The 19,929-nt window shown below is 39.2% G+C and overlaps 1 protein-coding gene across 11 annotated transcripts in view; it reads left to right on the top strand.

Annotated features, from left to right (window-relative positions):
- APP (amyloid beta precursor protein) overlaps positions 1 to 19,929 on the top strand; it is a 290,579-nt gene that overhangs the window by 261,374 nt on the left and 9,276 nt on the right. For 8 of the 11 annotated variants that reach the window (NM_001136131.3, NM_001136129.3, NM_001136130.3 and 5 more), the window contains 3 exons: positions 4,678 to 4,731; positions 12,082 to 12,182; positions 17,887 to 18,033. In NM_001136131.3, the coding sequence (NP_001129603.1) occupies positions 4,678 to 4,731; positions 12,082 to 12,182; positions 17,887 to 18,033 (302 nt within the window). The remainder of the gene's footprint in view (positions 1 to 4,677; positions 4,732 to 12,081; positions 12,183 to 17,886; positions 18,034 to 19,929) is intronic. The other 3 variants (NM_001204303.2, NM_001204302.2, NM_001204301.2) reach the window with 1 other exon arrangement.

Below are 19,929 nucleotides of genomic sequence, written 5' to 3'. Positions count from 1 at the left end.
CATTGAAGGTCCTCTTCATTCAGTCTCTAATGAGAATTTTTAGTGAAAAATGTCCGATCTCATTTTGTAAATTGAATGCACGCTAAATTTGCTCTTTTACTAACAGCATACCTTGTTGCATCAGCCTTAGGAGAAAATCTGCGTGCACACGTGTGAATGTACACACACACACATACACTGTGAACCCTTGGTAATTGCCAGGATGTCCATTTGAGCAAAGCCCTTGATTAAGTACTTCTGGATACTTGACAAACACGCAGCTATTACATTGCCTAGGTCTCATGAAAAGAGCTGATATTCTTGTTGGATGATTCTGTTTGAACAGTAGAATCTGGTATAACAATTTTGGGAGGCAATAGAACTTGCAGTGTCAGAGTCTTGAGTTGCAGTACTCTTCATTATCAGTCCCAACATTGACATATATATATTGATTATAGCAAACAATTTAAAAAGCCACTTAAGCAATTTTTTTTTTTTTTTTTTTTTTTGAGACGGAGTCTCGCTCTGTCGCCCAGGCTGGCTGGAGTGCAGTGGCGCGATCTCAGCTCACTGCAAACTCTGCCTCCCAGGTTCATGCCATTTTCTTGCTTCAGCCTCCCGAGTAGCTGGGACTATAGGTACCCGCCACCACGCCCGGCTAATTTTTTGTATTTTTACTAGAGATAGGGTTTCACCGTGTTAGCCAGGATGGTCTCGATCTCCTGACCTCGTGATCCGCCCGCCTCAGCCTCCCAAAGTGCTGGGATTACAGGCATGAGCCACGGCGCCCGGCCCCAATTGGTTTTTAAATAAAATAGACGGCCATCATCTCATAGGATATTAAATACTACCCCATACCCCTGAACTCCTGAATGATACAGACCCGAGTTTAAATTCCAGCCCTGCTATGTGCTTCTGAGCAAGTTACTTAGCCTCTCTGGCTGCTTCCTCGTCTGTAAAATAAGGTTGACAATAATTCCTAACTCAGAGGTATAGTATGAGCATTAAATAAGAAGGCATAAAAAAGCTCTTAGCAAAATTCCTGGAACGTAGTAAATGTCAGTGGTAGCTTTTTTTTTTTTTAATGGAGCCAGGATCTTATTAGAGAGACTTTATCAGCCTGTCTCAAGATGAATCACCTTATGGCCTCAACAATGTATCCTTAAAATAATGAATATAATAAGCCATATAATGAGATACAGTCCTAAAGCCGTCTCTCTTCTAACACCGTCTCCCACCTCTCCCCAGAAACTTGTTAGTCTTTCTTTGTACAGACATGTGCACACACACACACATACACCCAACTACTGAAAATATCTAAAATTCTCAAAGGATTTCCTTTTGTTCTTCATGCAGTCCTCATTATCATAGTTTCAAATGCTTACCAAAAATTTGTTGTTTTTCTTAAGAACAATCAGTGAAATCCAGAGGAGGTTCTGATGCCCATTTTTTAAATTTACATTGAAGAAAATAAGCATATCAGAGTTTTCCAATGTGCTGTGATTTGCCTTAACAATTTTTTATTCTTTGGTTTTCACATCCACAAAACCTAAATGAATGGCTAGGCTGAAATGAAGCTGTTGTTACAGAATTGTGCTCACAGATCGTGAAATGATCTGGCTGGAAGCATTAGCGTTGATGACATTTGTGTTTGTTCTACTTTTTCCTGACTGCCTGAGAAGGGCAGCCACAAAGAGCAGCATAGCATGCAGTGACTGCCAGCAAGTCTTTGTGGCCAACAGTCTGCCTCTTTGTAGATAATACCTAGATATAATATGTAGATAAAATAATATTTTTAAAGAGACAAAGCAGGTCTTATAAGACTTGTATGGATGTATTTGCAAAATGTGAAGCTGCCTTCTAGTATATTTTTAACTAGCTTTATAGAGGCAATGAGGAAGCCAATTTAAATGTTGAAATTTAGATTAAATAAATATTTCATTAAACTTACAAACCAGTTCTTGTCAGCCTCTTATCTATATGTAAAACTGGTGTACTGCTGATTCCTCATTACCTTTGGCCTGGTAGAGAGTTTGTACAAGGCAGCACGGTTAATAGTTGAGGTTTATTACAAAGAATACCAGAAGTAACAGACTCAAAAATCCCAGAGGTCTGACCATTCTGTTTCTCTCCTCTTACAGCAAAGGATTTGATTCAAAGCTACTGAGAGCAAGAGAATAACTCATTTCTGCTTACATTTTATTTTAACTCTATTAAAAGTTAAAGCTAAGATAATGTATTTCTTGTTTTTAAATTACTAAACAGCCAATGTAAGATGTTTTTTAGCACTTCATTGATGAAGTTACTGTCTGGTTAAGTAAAGGTCAATTGGAAAAATTGGAAAGTATTTGCAGTGGATTGGGAAATAACACACTACTTTGTTTTGTTGGTGTGTATTCTTTTTTTTCGGCAATGATATCATAATTGCCTTTTAAAAAACTTTTAATGTCTGCTCCCTGAGCTACTTATTTTTTGAGCATTAATTTATACTAAATCAGCTTCAATCTTTTAAAGCAGATTAGGGTTTATGTCACTGAAACTAGTTTTGTTTAATCTTCCTAAAAAATAGGGTTAGGGTTTTATTATTGTTTTTAAATAATACATGCCTATTTAAAAAAATAGAAGAAGAAGAAGAAGAGCGGGGAGAGGCAGAGAAACTTATAGGACAATATCATTTGTAAGTTTCTTTCACATAAGTATACGCATTTGAACCCTGGAAAAACCATTTACTTTGTGACACAACTGAAGTTCAGAAAGAATGTGATTAGCCCCAGATCACAGAGAAAGTAAGTGGTGACATTAGCAGTGGCCCGTGGGACTACCAGCTCCTCAGCCTGCATTTAAACCACAGGTACACTTAACTTACTGCCCCGAGTTGCATATACATTTTCTAATAACGTAACTATTGATGTATGTGCTCACCACCACTTCAAGGTACGCGTTTGCCCTCGTGCATGTGGTCTGTTGTGTTCTTAACTGCAGTTGAAGCACTATTGGGTCCCTCATCATCAGGAAATTCTCACAAAGTACAATGACCTTTCAACTAACTGCATTTTACAAGGAGTAATACAGTTACTCATTACAGGTTGCTGCAAATAGGAAAAAAAATGAAGTATAGAAAAACCAAACCTCATTGTCGAAATGTATTTGGGAGTTGCAGAAGGAAGTGAACTATGTCTTCCTCTAATGCACTAGTGAAATACTAGAGAATAGTCACTCTCGCATCAGTAGTTACTATGGAATATTTAATCATAGGATATTTAATCAGTGCAGTTCTGTAGTATCTGGTAGGGTCTCAAACAGGCTTTAAAGGTTACTTATTTGTTCCTCACCATAATTAGAAGATGCAGATGTTAACATTTCTGTTTCCATATGGAGAAACAGCCACAGAAGTGGCGCATCCCAAGGCCACAGACATTGTAAATGTTGGGCCCAGGCCTGGGATTAGATGCCTCACCCTCCTTTTGACTCCACCATGCTGCCAGTCTCTACATGAGAAAGGACCAAATTTTTATTTCATCCAAATATCCTAGTGCTCCCGGAAATATTTTCTTATATTTTGGAGACTTGGCTTACTGCCACTTTTTTTCTCCCTCACTGTTTCTATTAACATGTGGCATCCAAAATCGATTTGGACTGAGAATCCCACCTTTGAATGCCTGGCCTGTGTGCATCAGTAAGCTGGATGGTTTTGCTGAAATTGTTAGAAGCCATTTCATCGAGCACACCGTGTCTCCTTCAGCACCTGTGCTCACTTTGTCTTACCTTTTTCCCTTTACACTTGCCACCTTACCAAAGCAGCTTCCCCCTGCACCTACCTCCGTGGCTTCATTTACCCTATGACCATTATTAATCCTAAAAACTTCACTTTTGTCCCCATTCCTTGTTTCTTCAAACGCCAGCGTAAAACAAGGAAGTATTTTCTGAGCATCAGAAGTGCTTTGGAAAGGTCAGATGATGGTGAGGAATATCATGCTGTCCACACTGCTTTCTTTGGGTCGGACCCAGAACACATAAAAAGGGAAAATTGTGAACAATGGCAAATATAAAATGAAATATCCTCATTTCACACGTTTCAGCTGTATGTCATCTGTCAAATGGAAGCCAGCCTTTTTGAAAAAGTGAGAAAAAGACTGCGGTTTCCCTCTTCTGCCCTCATACTAAGGACAAATTTGATTCACTCACTAAATGGCAGATTATATAGTAAAACTTTGCTCTCCTGATAAATTCATATTTGCACTTCCCCTGGAAATTTAACAGAGTCCTTTTGTAGTTAATTAACTGTAAAATAAGATAAGATTGGGCAGTTGTAAAAGGAAGTATCTTTAAGGTTTTCTGCTAGGCTGGGAATATTTTATTTCTAATCAAAAGCCAAGAAACTATCTCTAAACTAGCTCAGAGGGAAATCCACCCTCCCCACCCCTCTTCTTTGATGTTGCTGCGTATCCTGGTGAGGGCTTTTATTAGAAAACTAAGGAGCAGGACTGGCACATCAATAGCGATAAGCCATTTAAAGTGGTGCCCCTCCTGGTCCTCGATGCTCGGGATTAACTCACTGTGGTTCTTTTCTGGCTGCTCCTTTTTTGTAACTTGTTTATTGCATATGCTTTTTTCCCTGCTCGACTATGTTTGGGAGCCACGACTTACCATCTTGATTTGTCTTGTTTGCTTTCTGTGTCCCTTGCTTCCTGTGCCCAGTTGAGCCTGTTGATGCCCGCCCTGCTGCCGACCGAGGACTGACCACTCGACCAGGTATCAGAACCGCTTGACTTGTGCCTCTCCGCATCTTGGGCCTAAGCTCGAGCAGACGTTGTCTCCTTTCTGCATTTTAAGCCTCTCTCAATTGTACTTACTGCAGAGTAGAATTTGAAGTGACCTTAGAAACCAAACTTTTAAAAATTCCCCTTGACTATTCCTTACTCTTCATTTCCCAAGTTCCGAGTGAAATGATTTTTTTTGTTTCTGAGCTTTCCCTTTGAAACCTAAAAGAGAGCCCTTCCAAATTTGGGTTTTTTTTTTTCTTTTTTCTTTAAAACAAACAAAACAAAACAAAAACAGAGACGATTATATACAGCCTGTCCTTAAAAACAGAAGCCCAGATAGATGTAGACTCTCAGGTGATGACTTGGATACCAGTGTGAACATCTCTCCTTTCTTGTTTGGTGTCCAGATGGGTAATTTTCTAACTGAACTGGGCTCAAACTTCAATCAGTTACTGAAGTAGACATGATTTCCTGAAAATACCAGAATTGGTTTCTTTCCAGAGCCCAAAATACATCTTCTGTTTTGTGGGTTGTATGTACTTATTCTCAATGAGTGGCTAAAGTAACACAACAGATGTGGATGCATAATTTTGCACATAAGCCCTTTTTTTATGTATTACTTAAAAATCCCATTAACACTGAAATAGACACTTCTTTTTTTACAGTTTCACAAACATTAAGAAGAAACACATTTTTATTTTATGAATAATGTCATAGCACAGCAGAAGCATATATGTGCCTGGTGTCTACTCTATGAACAACCTCACCCAACTGATAGTAGCCAGTGCTTTCAGTGAATCAAAAAGAGGAAGAAAGTTATTGAATTGACAAATTTGTGTATTCCAGGGAGATTTTAATCCCAAATAACACATACTTTTCCATATTTATTTTCTTCTTTATCCTCATAATGTCCCCAGGCGATAGTCAAAGAACAGGGAATTAACTTTCTTTGAAGATATTAATACACAGAGGTCAACCTTTGCTGCCTGGTTCAGATACAGTCAGCAGCAGACCAGGAGACCCACCCTGTCCCTCACACTTCCACCACAGGCTCGAGCCATGACTGCCTCCAAGCACGGTCACTGATGAAGACTGAGAGTCTGCCTGTGGCATCTTCATGCCTTTATGCTGTGATTAACAGTGGCAGCAGAGACAGTAGTGTGACACGTCTTGACAGCTGGTCTCGTTGATTTATGAATTTCTGTCTGTAGGCTTTTAAGGGGAACTTAAATTATAGTGAGTCAGAGACAGTTTCAGTTCTTCTAATGTCCTCCTTATTGTCAATGTCATGTAAGGGAATCTCAAGGAGCCAGGAGTTGACATTCCTGTTCTGCTCAGCCAACTTGTAAGGCCTCGGGCTGAGGGTCAGTTCAGTTCTAATTGCAACCACAGCCAGCTCAGGTTGGTCATTTGCCTTGGGACTTTTTTCATGGTGCTTCTCTTTAAAAGACATGCTCTTCATCTACAAGCATAAAATGTAACTTAGAAAGCGCTCATTCGACTCATTCAATTTTATCAAATTTCTACATTGGGCCAGGAGAGCCTATATGTTACTATTGAAACATCCAGGAACAGGTGACACTACCAGTCAATGTTTTTTTCTTTTTTAAAAAAATTGTTTTTTGATTTTTTTTTTTTTTTTTTGAGATGGAGTCTCGCTGTGTCCCCCAGGCTGGAGTGGAGTGGCACGATCTCAACTCACTGCAACCTCTGCCTCGGGGGTTCAAGCAATTCTTGTGCCCCAGCCTCTCAAGTAGCTGGGACTACAGATGCGCCCCACCATGCCCAGCTAATTTTTTTGTATTTTCAGTAGAGACGGGATTTCACCATGTTGGCCAGGCTGGTCTCGAACTACTGACCTCAGGTGATCCACCCACCTCGGCATCCCAAAGTGCTGGGATTACAGGCATAAGCACCATGCCCGGCCTATTCTTTTAAAAAAAATTTTTTTTAATCTAAATCTAACAAAAAGGACACCTCCAAACGCTGTCAAACAAAAACAGTGTGTTTTAAAGGAAGAGCTAGAGAATAGTTAATGGTATTACACTGGTGGGAGAAAACCATCCAAAACCTTTCTCATAACAGTAAGAATATGATGTCACTTGGGGATTTCACAAAGATCAATCCACTAAATTCTTTCTAGGTTTGAAAGAAATTAAACGGTAGGGTCCCTGCTCTCAGGAGCTTGAGGTATAATAGAAGGAATTTTGCATATTTGGAAACATGAGATGGAATTTGGAAGACAAGGAAATACAAAGCAACATTAAGTGCTAACAAGAATGTTCTGTGATGGGAGGAGATGGAGTACTAACCCAGGGGCATGTTAAGTAGAGAACTTACTGGAGATGGGCTTCCAGAGAGGTTATGAAAGATTTGAGGCACCTGGATTGGCAAAGAAGAAGGGAACAATTCTATTCAGAAGAGAGGGTGGCCTAAGCCAAGCTTCCTTTCATACACAGCGTAGGCTTGGGTTGCCCAGTAAGATGGCTAAAGTTGAGAAAGAATGCTCAGATATGAAGTGAGGAAGATTCTAGTTAAGGTTTGTCTATGAATAGCAGTATTTACTGCACATGTATTAAGCCATGCGTGTGTTCTGTTTTTGTGCTTGTAGTAAGTTTATCAAACATTTGGGCTAATTTCCCCGTGTTTTGTAGCATAGCTTTGGTTCTTCTTCACATTTTAGAGACCACCCACTTGAGTCTAATGTGCCGAATTATATCTTTAGCCTTTCCAAACTTAGAAAGCCTTCCCAAGATTGTCATGCCGTTCAAGTGATGGCATTGTTTTTGAATAATCACTGTTGTCCTCAGAAACAAGTTAAAAAAAGGTTTTTGTTTTTCCCCCACCCAGTGCTTTATAATCATGACTGAGGAAAATGGCTTCTCCTTAACTCTCATATCTAAAAAAACAGAATATGGTAGCTTCCAGCATGCAGTGTCAAGTAGGGACCATTGTAATAACAGTGGTGATTTGGGGGCATAGTGGCCATTATAGCTCCTCCTCCTGGCTTACTTCCAAAGAAAAAATAGACTCTGAAGGACTAATTATACAGTTTGACCAGAATAAAAAAGAAAAACACATTAGCGAGCTCTTCACATAGGGTAGAAAGCTACCCTTTCTGTTACAATTCATCACCACCCTTCTGCAGTCCAAATAAAGGGAAACCAGGTCCTTGACCCGAGCCATGCAAGAGGTGTCATGAAGGACATACCTCCCTTAGCCCCCACATGAACAAAAGGCTCTGTCCACTCATCATGACTTACAGGAAGAGAGAGCTGGAGTCACCAGGGCTTAGGGTGAAATCAGCACAACTCAAGAAAGACCTCTAAGTAAGCCTGCAAACCAAGGTCCCTGCCATTTATTTGAAACTACTCATCACATTTTATTACATGCATTATCACCTTATTATGAATATTTCCCTATGTGCCAGCTTACTGATTTTGTCTTTTAGTAAGATTTGCTTAATGTAAAAAGTCTTCCCTAGATGACTATTCATGCTAAACAAACATGAACTATTATAGCAAGAGCTCTTCTGCCAAGAGCTTCTCAAACTATTGAGCTGTAAACATGAATTTATCTGTCATGCTGACTTGATAATATGAATTTTTTTTTTTGGACCACCAAAAGTATTCACAGTATCATTTCAAAAGTAGTGTGGGCTTGTAAAGTTTTTAGTGGAGAGCTCTTGGTTTTGTTTTTTTTTTTTTTTTTTTTTTAAAACAGGATTTGTCTCTGTTTCCAGGCTGGAGAACAGTGGCATGATACCAGCTCACTGCAACCCCCATTTCCTGGGCTAAAGCTATCCTCCCACCTAAGTTTCCCATGCAGCTGGGATTACAGGGATGTGCCACCACACCTGGCTCATTTTTGTATTTTTAGTAGAGACAGAGTTTTGCCATATTGGCTAGGCTGGTCTCGAACTCCTGAGTTCAAACTGTTTGCCCGCCTCAGCCTCCCAAAGGCTGGGATTACAGGCATGAGTCACTGCACCTGGCCGAGAGCTCATTCTTTTTTTTTTTTTTTTTGAGATGGAGTCTCACTCTGTCGCCCAGGCTGGAGTGCAGTGGCACGAATCTCGGCTCACTGCAAGCTCTGCCTCCTGGGTTCACACCATTCTCCTGCCTAAGCCTCTAGTAGCTGGGACTACAGGTGCCTGCCACCACGTCCGGCTAATTTTTTGTATTTTTAGTAGAGACGGGGTTTCACCATGGTCTTGATCTCTTGACCTCGTGATCCTCCCGCCTCGGCCTCCCAAAGTGCTGGGATTACAGGTGTGAGCCACTGTGCCCGGCCAGAGCTCATTCTTTACTTTTATTTTTCAGTATAAATATTTGGCTCCAAAATCTAAAAGGGAAGACTCTTCAAACTGTTCAAGAAAGTTTTCTTAAAAATCTCAGAAATATAGTTCTAACCTATTGTGTTGCTAGATCTTTTATTTATTTATTTATTTTTGGAGACAGAGTCTCATTCTGTCACCCAGGCTGGAGTGCAGTGGCACAATCTCAGCTCACTGCAACCTCCACCTGCCGGGTTCAAGCGATTCTTATGCCTCAGCCTTCTGGAGTAGCTGGGATTACAGGCACCCGCCACCACACCTGGCTAATTTTTTTTTTTTTTTTTTTTTTTTTTTTTTTGTATTTTTAGTAGAGACAGGGTTTCACCATGTTGACCAGGCTGGTCTCAAACTCCTGACCTCAAGTGATCCACCCAGCTTGGCCTCCCAAAGTGCTGGGATTACAGGCGTGAGCCACCGTGCTTGGCACGTTGCCAGATCTTAATAACAGAAAAGGAGTGAGCTCTAAAGAAATCACTGGTTATATAAGGATCTCAGATTTAAAAGGGCTATAGAAAGATTAAAATATACAGCCAGTGAGAATTAAGAGAGTTTTAGCATCACTACCCTATAAAAATAAGTGTCAGAAAGGTTCGTTTCAGCAGAATGAGTTGAAACTTAACCAAAAAATACTTAACAATATTAAAGTAAGAAAATAAATAAGAATAGAGAACTCTGTGGGTCTCGTAGCAAGAAGTTGGGGGTTGAGGGTTAGGTCATTGAGAGGACCAGAGTTAAAGAATGAGAAAGGGAAACTGTCCCACTTCCATTGTGCCTTTTATGTCTATATTAAAGAGAATGAACTTCTGATGAAAGGAAATTAAAGCCCGAGATAGATCAACATGAGAAAAGAAAGCCCTAGCCCATTAGTTACCTATTGCTACGTAGCAAATAACGCGAGAATTTAGCAGCTTAAAACAACAAGCATTAGTTTCTTACAGTTTTTATAGGTCAGGATTTGGGATGTGGTTTAGCTGGATGGTTCTGGCACAGTGTCCGTCATGTGGTTGCAGTTAAGACACTGCCTGAGCTAAAGTCATCTGAAGGTTTGATTGGACCTGGTGGGTCTGTTTCCAACGTGGCTCACTCACGTCACTGTTACTAAGAGACCTCAGTATCTTACCATGTGAACTCTGTAATGCTGCTTGAGCGTCCCTACAACATGGCATCTCGCACCCCTGCACCAAGAGGTCCAGGAAAGAGATTAAGGAAGTTTTAGTGCCTTTTTTGGCCCAGTCTCAGAAGTCATACACCATCACTTCTATCATGCTCTGTTCACTAGAGCAAGTCACTACATCCCGACCACATTCGAAGGAAGGGAATCAAGTTCTCCCTCTTGAAGGAAGGAGTATCAGCAAATTTGTGGATATATTTTAAACTATGACATCTTGCTACCCAAGTCCAAGTTCTTATGACCCAGACCAACTGCAGGCTAAGAGAACTTGAAGGGGAAGTAGCACCATTGCCTGTGGTCTTTGTGGAAAGCTGGGAAGGTAGGGATAGGAAAATGAAGTTCTGAATAGCAAAAAGGAGAGAAGATAGCTTCACAATCTGTAAGCCAGGTATAGAGTGACATTGATTGTGGGTCTCTTTTCAAATAGGTTATCAAGTGGAAGCTTTTTGAACAATTGGATGAGGAAATGGTGCTAGGTCACAACCAGCGTGGATTTCCTAGGTTTTGTCAGATTATCCTTACCTTCTCCTTGTATAGGCTGTGCTCTTAGACTGGCACATCATATGCTGTGGACATTGTGCTTTTCAGTGTCAGCAAGATGTGTCACAAGTTTCCCAGAATCTCGTAGACAAGATTGAAAGAGTGATTAGGCCAAGAGCAGGAAGTGAATTCCCCTGGGAGCCAAAGGAATTGGGAATGTGTAGCCCAAGTAAGACAAGAACCAGCAGGAACATGCCTCTCCTTAGGGTCGTGATACCTGTTCAAGGTTTTAATGTGGAAGGGAGGATTAGGCTTGCTCTGTGTTGAATCAGGCTCAAAGGATGGAAGTTACAGGGAAGCTGATTCTGGCTTCATGTAAAAAAAGGACAGTTTGGGCAGGCAAATCTATCAAAAAATGGAGGGAAATTGATACATTCCTCTATGTTCAAACAGGAACTGACAATCTGCCCCTGGGTGGGAACACGGTAGAGAAGATGACTTCAAAAGCCCTTTTCATCCTAAAATTCTGATGTTTGATAATTAAATGTTATAGCATGGACACTGACATTTACATTTTTTACTTATGTTTTTGGTTTTTAAATGACTCTGCATTTTGTTTTAAGCTTCAAATTATTATTTGAATAATGAAATTCATCAGAACAATTAGTGTTAAGAATCATATAGCAATTTATAGAAAAGGAAGAGTTCGTAGGTTATAAATTCTGTTAGTTGCTAAGAAGCATTTTTAAAATTATGTACTATAGCTCTTTATTCAGCAGACGAACCAATTACAATCTGTGTAACTAGAACACTTGACTAAAATTATATAATTTTTACAACGCTTCACTGCATAGATACATGAACATAATTTATTTGTAATTGGAACAAAGCCCCAAAGTAGCAGTTTTGTTCTACCAGGTAATTAATGCTCATTTTTAAAGCCTTTTATTATTATTTCTGAAGTAATGAGTGCACATGGAAAAAGACACATAATAGGCTAAACAATAAGCCCGTAAGCCAAGCCAACATATTCCAGGAACAAATCCTTGCCAACCTCTCAACCAGGATTTAACTTCTGCTTTTCCCCCATTTTCAAAAATTATAGCATGTATTTAAAGGCAGCAGAAGCCTTACTTTCAGGTTTCCCTTACCCTTTCATTTCTTTTTGTTCAAAATAGGTAGTAATTGAAGTTTTAAATATAGGGTATCATTTTTCTTTAAGAGTCATTTATCAATTTTCTTCTAACTTCAGGCCTAGAAAGAAGTTTTGGGTAGGCTTTGTCTTACAGTGTTATTATTTATGAGTAAAACTAATTGGTTGTCCTGCATACTTTAATTATGATGTAATACAGGTTCTGGGTTGACAAATATCAAGACGGAGGAGATCTCTGAAGTGAAGATGGATGCAGAATTCCGACATGACTCAGGATATGAAGTTCATCATCAAAAATTGGTACGTAAAATAATTTACCTCTTTCCACTACTGTTTGTCTTGCCAAATGACCTATTAACTCTGGTTCATCCTGTGCTAGAAATCAAATTAAGGAAAAGATAAAAATACAATGCTTGCCTATAGGATTACCATGAAAACATGAAGAAAATAAATAGGCTAGGCTGAGCGCAGTGGCTCAAGCCTGTAATCCCAGCACTTTGGGAGGCCAAGGCGGGTGGATCACGAGGTCAGAAATTCGAGACCAGCCTGGCCAATATGGTGAAACCCCATCTCTACTAAAAATACAAAAAAGATTAGCTGGGTGTGGTGGCAAACACCTGTAGTCCCAGCTGCTGGGGAGGCTGACGCAGGAGACTTGCTTGAACCCAGGAGGTGGAGGTTGCAGTGAGCTGAGATCGTGCCTAGGCGACAGAGCGAGACTCCATCCCAAAAAAAAAAAAGAAAAGAAAGAGGCTGTATGTATAGTTCTTTCAGACTACAAGGCAGCAAAGTTCGTGCATGACTCGGGACTTAAAGTGGAATTAATTTCAATATAGCAGCCACTTTGACTTCCACTGTGTTTTCTGGGAAAATAGGTTTACAATAGGTTTATTTGAAGGATCAAACACATGCATACACTGCTTGGTTTTACAGAACACTTTATGTGGCTTAAATTCACATCCGGAACTGTCTTCCTTTACCCATTCATTTCTCCCCCAGCTCTTTCTTTTCATTCCCTCCCCTACCTCCCATGATTTAACTTCTCTTGCAAGAGTAAGATCATGGAGTGAGCAGGACCCCATGATGTTCCCGATAGTGTTATTCATCAAAAGGTTTGTGCAAAGAAGACAGCAGCTTCCTTTTCAGATGAAATCACTTTTCCCCCCTAATGTTAGAATTGGAGTAAATCAAAAAGCCACATCTCCTTTGTGGTCAGCTCTAGTAGTTATATAAAATCCTTTACCAAAAGCTTAGAAATGGAGATAAATCAAATCGTGGATTATGTTAGGGTTCCATCTTATCAGTAGGTGCAGTAAGAGGGTTAAATTAATGAAGACGACAATTTTATCACATTCAGTGGTGGACAGAAAAATGGTAAGAAAATTTCCATAGCAATAATACTTAAAGTTATCTCAGGCACTTCTTTTGTTTTGTTTTGTGTGTGTGTGTGTGTGAGTGTTACTTTTTTCCAAGCAGAAAATGTCTTTTCAATATTCATAAAGTTGATAAATCCTAGTATTAATCTCTAAAAGAAACACCTCCAAATTATTATTTATGCCTTACTTGACTCCAAATAATTGTAGCAAATAAAAAACTGACTTGGGATTTGGATTTGCATTCTTAACTCCCATAGTTCTTTTTTTGTAGAAAGACATTTAGCTTTTTGAAGCATGGTTTTCATTGGCAAGATAATCTAGTATCAGTTGTTATAAGATCAGGGTTTCTCTTGATGAGGCTGTTGCTGAAGAGGTTAATAAAAACTGGGGAACCACTAAAGAGTTGAAGAGTTGGTGGGGTAGAAAGCTGACGATTAATGTACAGATTTGCATTTGTCGGGGCCTGGGGCCTGTGTCATATAAGCCCATCCCCACAATTACACTAACGCCTATAATGCGACAGTGACTAATGGCAGCGGCAGCAATTAGGAGAATCAGCTCCCTCTACTGGACTAGTTAAGATAATGTATTATAATTAGTGCAATGAATATTACAAAATTACAGTATTTTCTTAAAGGCACAGGCATATGTCCAGACTTGTATTTATTCCTGATTACCTCACACTAGTATATTAGCTAATTAATGATTTGCTTTTCATAAAAATGTTGAGCTAGCATATTTGTTTAGTAAAGGGAATAATTATGAACAATTTCTCATTTTGTTATAAACCACGAGTAAAACACTTTTAGAAGTTGCTTCATTTGCTATATTTTATATTGCCTTTCCAGATTGCTAGTATGTTAGTTTCAGCTTAGAAAAATCAGTCATTTGACTACCTTGAGGCTAAATTGAAAGAATTTTTTAGGGAGGTACAGGCATACCTTGGAAATTTCAGAACACCACAATAAAACAAATTTTGCAACAAAATGTCACACAAATTTTTTGGCTTCCCAGTACATATAAAAGTTATGTTGGCCAGGCACGGTGGCTCATGCCTGTAATCCCAGCACTTTGGGAGGCCAAGGCAGGTGGATCACAAGGTCAGGAGGTCGAGAGCATCCTGGCCAACATGGTGAAATGCCATCTCTACTAAAAATACAAAAATTAGCTGCATATGGTGGCATGTGCCTGTAGTCCCAGCTACTCGGGAGGCTGAGGCAAGAGAATCTCTTGATCCCAGGAGGCAGAGGTTGCAGTGAGCCGAGATCGCACTCCAGCCTGGGCAACAAGAGCAAGACTCTGTCTCAAAAAAAAAAAAAAGTTTGTATTTACACTATACTCTAGTCTGTTACATGTGCAATAGCATTATGTCTAAAAAAAAAAAAAGCCATGTATATACTTTACTTTTATTAGTAAAATATTTTATTACTAAAAATGCTAATGATCATCTGAGTCTTCAGCAAGTCCTAATCTTTTTGCTCGTGGAGAATCTTGCCTTGATGTTCACTGCTGCAGGCTAATCCAGGTGGTGGCTGCTGAGGTTTGTGGTGGCTGTGGCAATTTCCTAAAATAAGACAATAATGAAGTTTGCTGCATCGATTGACTCTTCCTTTCACAAAAAGATGTCTCTGTAGCATGTGATGCTGTTTGATAGCATTTTGCTCACAGTAGAACAGCTTTCAAAATTGGAGTCAGTCTTCGCAAATCTAGCCACTGCTTCATCGAGTTTATGTGATATCCTAAATCCTTTGTTGTCATTTCAACAGTGTTCATAGCATCTTCACCAAGAGTAGATTCCATTGCAAGAAACCACTTTCTTTGCTCATCCATAAGAGGTAACTCCTCATCCATTCAAGTTTGATCATGAGATGGTAGCAGTTCAGTCATGTCTTTAGGCTCCACTTCTAATTCTAGTTCTCTTGTTATTTCCACCACATCTGCTGTGACATCCTTTACTGAAGTCTTGAACTCCTCAAAGTCACCCATGAGAGTTGGAATCATTGTCTTCCAAACTCCCGTTATTGCTGATGTTTTGATCTCCCATGGATCACAGATGTTCTTAATGGCATCTGGAATGGTGAATCCTTTTTAGAAGGTTTGCAGTTTACTTTGCCCAGATCCATTAGAGGAATCGCTATCTATGGCAGTGAATAGCCCTACAAAATATATTTGAAATATATTTTGAAATAATAAGAGGCTGAAATAATAAGACTTGAAAGTTGATCCACAGGCTGCAGAATGGATGTTGTGTTAGCAGGCATGAAAACAACAGTAATCTCCCTGTACCTGTCCTTCAGAGCTCTTGGGTGACTAGGTGCTTTGTTAGTGAGCAGTAATATTTTGAAATGAGTCTTTTCTGAGCAGTAGGTCTCAACAGTGGGTTTAAAATATTCAGTAAACCATGCTGTTAAGAGATGTGCTGTCATCCCAGTTTTGTTCCATTTATAGAGCATGGGCACAGTAGATTTAGAATAATTCTTAAGCGCCCTAGGACTTTTACAATGGTCAGTCTTGGCTTCAAAAACAAAGTCGCCAGCTGCATTAGCCCCTAACAAGAGAGTCAGCTTGTTCTTTGAAGCTTTGAAGGCAGGACTTCTCTCTAGTGATGAAAGTCCTAGATGGCATTTTCTTCCAAATAAGTCTGTTTCATCTCCACTGAAAATCTGTTATTTAGTGTAGCCACCTTCATCAGGAGTCTTATCTAGATCTTCTGGATAACTTATTGCAGCTTCTACATCAGCACTTGCTGCTTCACCTTGCACTTCTGTGTTATGGAGATGGCTTCTTCCCTTAAACCTCATGAAATCAACCTCTCCCAACTTTTTTTTCTTCTGCAGCTTCTTCACCTCTCTCATCCTTCATAGAATTGAAGACAGTTGTGGGCCTTGTTCTTGATTAGGCTTTGGCCTAAGAGAATGTTGTGGTTGGTTTGATCTTCCATCCAGACAACTAAAAGTTTTCTCCGTATCAGCAATAAGGCTGTTTTGCTTTATCATTTGTGTGCTCACTGGAGTAGCACTTTTAATCTCCTTCAAGAGCTTTTCTTTGCATTCACAACTTGGCTAACTGGCACAAGAATCTTGGCTTTCAATATGCCTTGCCCACTAAGCTTAATTATTTCTAGCTTTTGCTTTAAAGTGAGAGACCTGTGACTCTTCCTTTCACTTGAATACTTAAGAGGCCACTGTAGGGTTATTTACTGGCCCACTTTCAATATTGTTGTCTCTCAAGGGATAGGGAGCCTGGGAGTTGAGGGGGTGGAGTGGCCAGTTTGGGGGGCAGACAGAACACACACAACATTTATTGATTTAGTTTGCTGTCTTTATGGGCATGTTTCATGACACTCCAAAACAATTAAAATAGTAACATCAAAGGCCACTGATCACAGATCACCAAACAGATATAATAATTTTTAATGTTTGAATATTTAAATAATTACCAAAATGTGACACAGACATGAAGTGAACCTGTGTTCACTGTTGGAAAAATGGCACCAATAGACTTGTTCGATGCAGGGTTACCAGAAACCTTTTTGTTTTTTTTTTTTAAATACTATCTGTAAGCACTACTGTACAATAAAGCTATGTATGCCTGTATTTTCATTAAGTTGCAGAGCAAACGTGGTAATATTTAGCTTTAGTTTTACTTCATCTGGCATAAGATCAACTCCTTATATAACAAGATGATAAAAGTTGTGGTGTGCTTCTATAATTTCATTCAAGTAGATAAAGTTGAAAAATAATGACTTGCTTTTATAAACAGTATGAAGCAATGTAGTGCAGTAAATGAAATTTTATTCCTTCTTTACAATGTTCTCAAAATTATTTTTATGTTTAATCCAAATAAAGAGCAAGAATAAAGCAACATTTCAGATTTTGGTTTCTGGAGACAATAGTTAGAAAGCATGAGTTATGAGTGACTTAAAATTCTTGTTGCCTGTACTTCACTTTGAAATAACATTATGCTTTAAAAAGCATTACACTGCTAAAGGTTAATTAGAATTCTGCAGAATTACTATAGCTAAAAGTAGGTAACAAGATATCTTTTTTTCTATTGTTTAACTCCTTTGTTTCAGAATGCCTATTCCTGTGCATTAAAAGTGTCCCTCCAAGGAAATTAGGACATCTGCAGAGTTGAAAAACACCTAAGTCTCAGTCACTTAGAGTCACACATCAGGGCTCAGAGTGCTATGACTAGGAAAATGCTGACCTCCTTTCATTAGTATGATCGTGCCTTTCCAGCTTTTGATAGATCCAAGCGCTATCTTCCCACCACTCACCAAATGTTCCACCTGTCAAAGGGTTTCAGGTCCCTGCAGACTTCGGTTTTGACCTGTGGGGAAAGTAGACTTCCTCGAACTGGGGAAGCCACATGTTGTACATCCTTCTATAAACTATGATTATCATTCTTAGTAGGAAAATATGTGATTTCTTTTTTTTTTTTTTTTTTTAAAGTAAGCATCAAATATTTGACCAACCAGTTGGGCAGAGAATATACTGAAACTTTTTATATAACCTCATCCAAATGTCCCCTGCATTTAAGAAATGAAATTCTTCTAATTGCGTTTATAAATTGTAAATTATATTGCATTTAGAAATTAAAATTCTTTTTCTTAATTTGTTTTCAAGGTGTTCTTTGCAGAAGATGTGGGTTCAAACAAAGGTGCAATCATTGGACTCATGGTGGGCGGTGTTGTCATAGCGACAGTGATCGTCATCACCTTGGTGATGCTGAAGAAGAAACAGTACACATCCATTCATCATGGTGTGGTGGAGGTAGGTAAACTTGACTGCATGTTTCCAAGTGGGAATTAAGACTATGAGAGAATTAGGCTTAGCTTTTTGCTAAGAACTAGCTAAGTATCTCTTTTAAAAAACGAATCAGTGTGCTTCCATGATGCTTGGGTTACAGTTGTTCTTTCTTGTTTTGGTTTTCATTCATTGCAACTTACCGTGAATATTCTGCTCAAGGTATTGAGAGTGTGTGTTGTTATCTCAACTTACAATTTGTGTTGAAGTTATCAAAATAATACAAATGATAATGCATGACTTTAAAAAAGCATGATTACTCTTAGACTTTTTTTTTTCAAACACAAGCAACAAAAACCAGTACAAGAAGTTAAAAATAAAAATAGAAGTAGGAAGTTGCTTTTTCCAAAAAAACTAAACATGTTTATTCTTGGATTTCTTTTGTCTTAAATAGTCTGGCCTCTCAATACAACCAGGTAATAGTAAATAATGTGACTTTTCAGTGCAGACTCTTACCTTTAAAGTTTCTCAGGAAATCACACTATACCAAATGGCCCACCAAAACATACATGATTGTTATTTGAGAGTTCTGCAACCTATTACCCTGCACTTCCACCTGAAATATCTTAGTTTCAAGGTGCTATACTAAAACAAGAAAGAGAGAAAGAAAATTTACGAATAAGTTATTTTTATGCATTTGAAATGCCATTTGGATGGGGGAAAAAGTGTTAAAATCTCACAGTATATGCAACTTTTTAGGAAACTGTCTTGCAGAGAGTATAGTGTAAACATAACTTTTATATGCACAGGGAAACTGAAAAATTTGTGTGACATTTAATTGCGATATTTTAAGAGTTATGGAATTTTTAGAGCTGAAAGATTTATTGATGATGACCAATCAAATTGATCTTCTCATCTTGTAGATGAGGGAACTGAGGCCGAGACAGAAGGGTTCAAATTATGCAAGGTCAAGCTCAGAGTCCAGATTTCCCCTCATATTCCCCATTGCTTTTTTTTTTTTTTTTTGAGACAGTCTCGCGCTGTTGCCCAGGCTGGATCTTGGCTCACTGCAACCTCTGCCTCCTGGGTTCAAGCAATTCTCTTGTCTCAGCTTCCTGAGTAGCTGGGACTATGGGCACACGCCACCATGCCCGGCTAATTTTTGTTTTTAGTAGAGACAGGGTTTCACCATATTGGTCAGGCTGGTCTCGAACTCCTGACCTCAGGTGATCCACCCGCCTTGGCTTCCCAAAGTGCTGGGATTACAGGCGTGAGCCACCGCGTCTGGCCCCCATTGCTTTTTCCATCAGAGAAAAGTCCAGGTGTTTCTAGGGAGTTGAAGATTCCACTATCCCCAAGGAAATGGGCTCTAAACCATTCTTGATTAGAAGAGGACAGGCAGAGTTTAAATAAATGAAATTTGTGGTGAAGCCAGAAATTTCATTTTGCTCAGCAATTAAAACCTCTGCAGACTACAACAGAAGCTGCTGATGGAAATTGGGGTGGAGCCTCATTTCCCCATTCATACTGACGTGGATGAGCAGTGTGAGGAAGGAAACCAAGAGAACAGCAGGCAGCAGGGTGGAAAGGAACGGACTGACCCATAGATCAGAGTGTGAGCACATAAAAGCAATGACCCCACTGTCATGTTTGGCCATTGCACCTTTTGTGATAGTATCTAAGCTTATGTCCCTCAAAACAGTGTAAGATAGGTTTTCATTAGTATCAGCTTATTTCATTTCTGCTCAAATTAATTTTTAAAAAAATTTAATTCCATATTTGAGCAAATAAAGATGTCTTCATACTTGAGTAATTCAAGACCCCTTTTTTGCTGCTGTTGTTGTTTTGGTTTTTTTCATGGTTTTGTTGTTTTCTTTTGTTGTTGTTGTTTCTTTGTTTTTTGAGATGGAGTCTTGCTCTTTC

The sequence above is a fragment of the Homo sapiens genome, chromosome 21 (genome assembly GCF_000001405.40).
Source record: "Homo sapiens chromosome 21, GRCh38.p14 Primary Assembly".
NCBI classification, from domain to species: domain Eukaryota; kingdom Metazoa; phylum Chordata; class Mammalia; order Primates; family Hominidae; genus Homo; species Homo sapiens.
The sequence above is the reverse complement of the archived record's forward strand: the minus strand, read 5'-3'. Positions and strand labels throughout refer to the sequence as shown.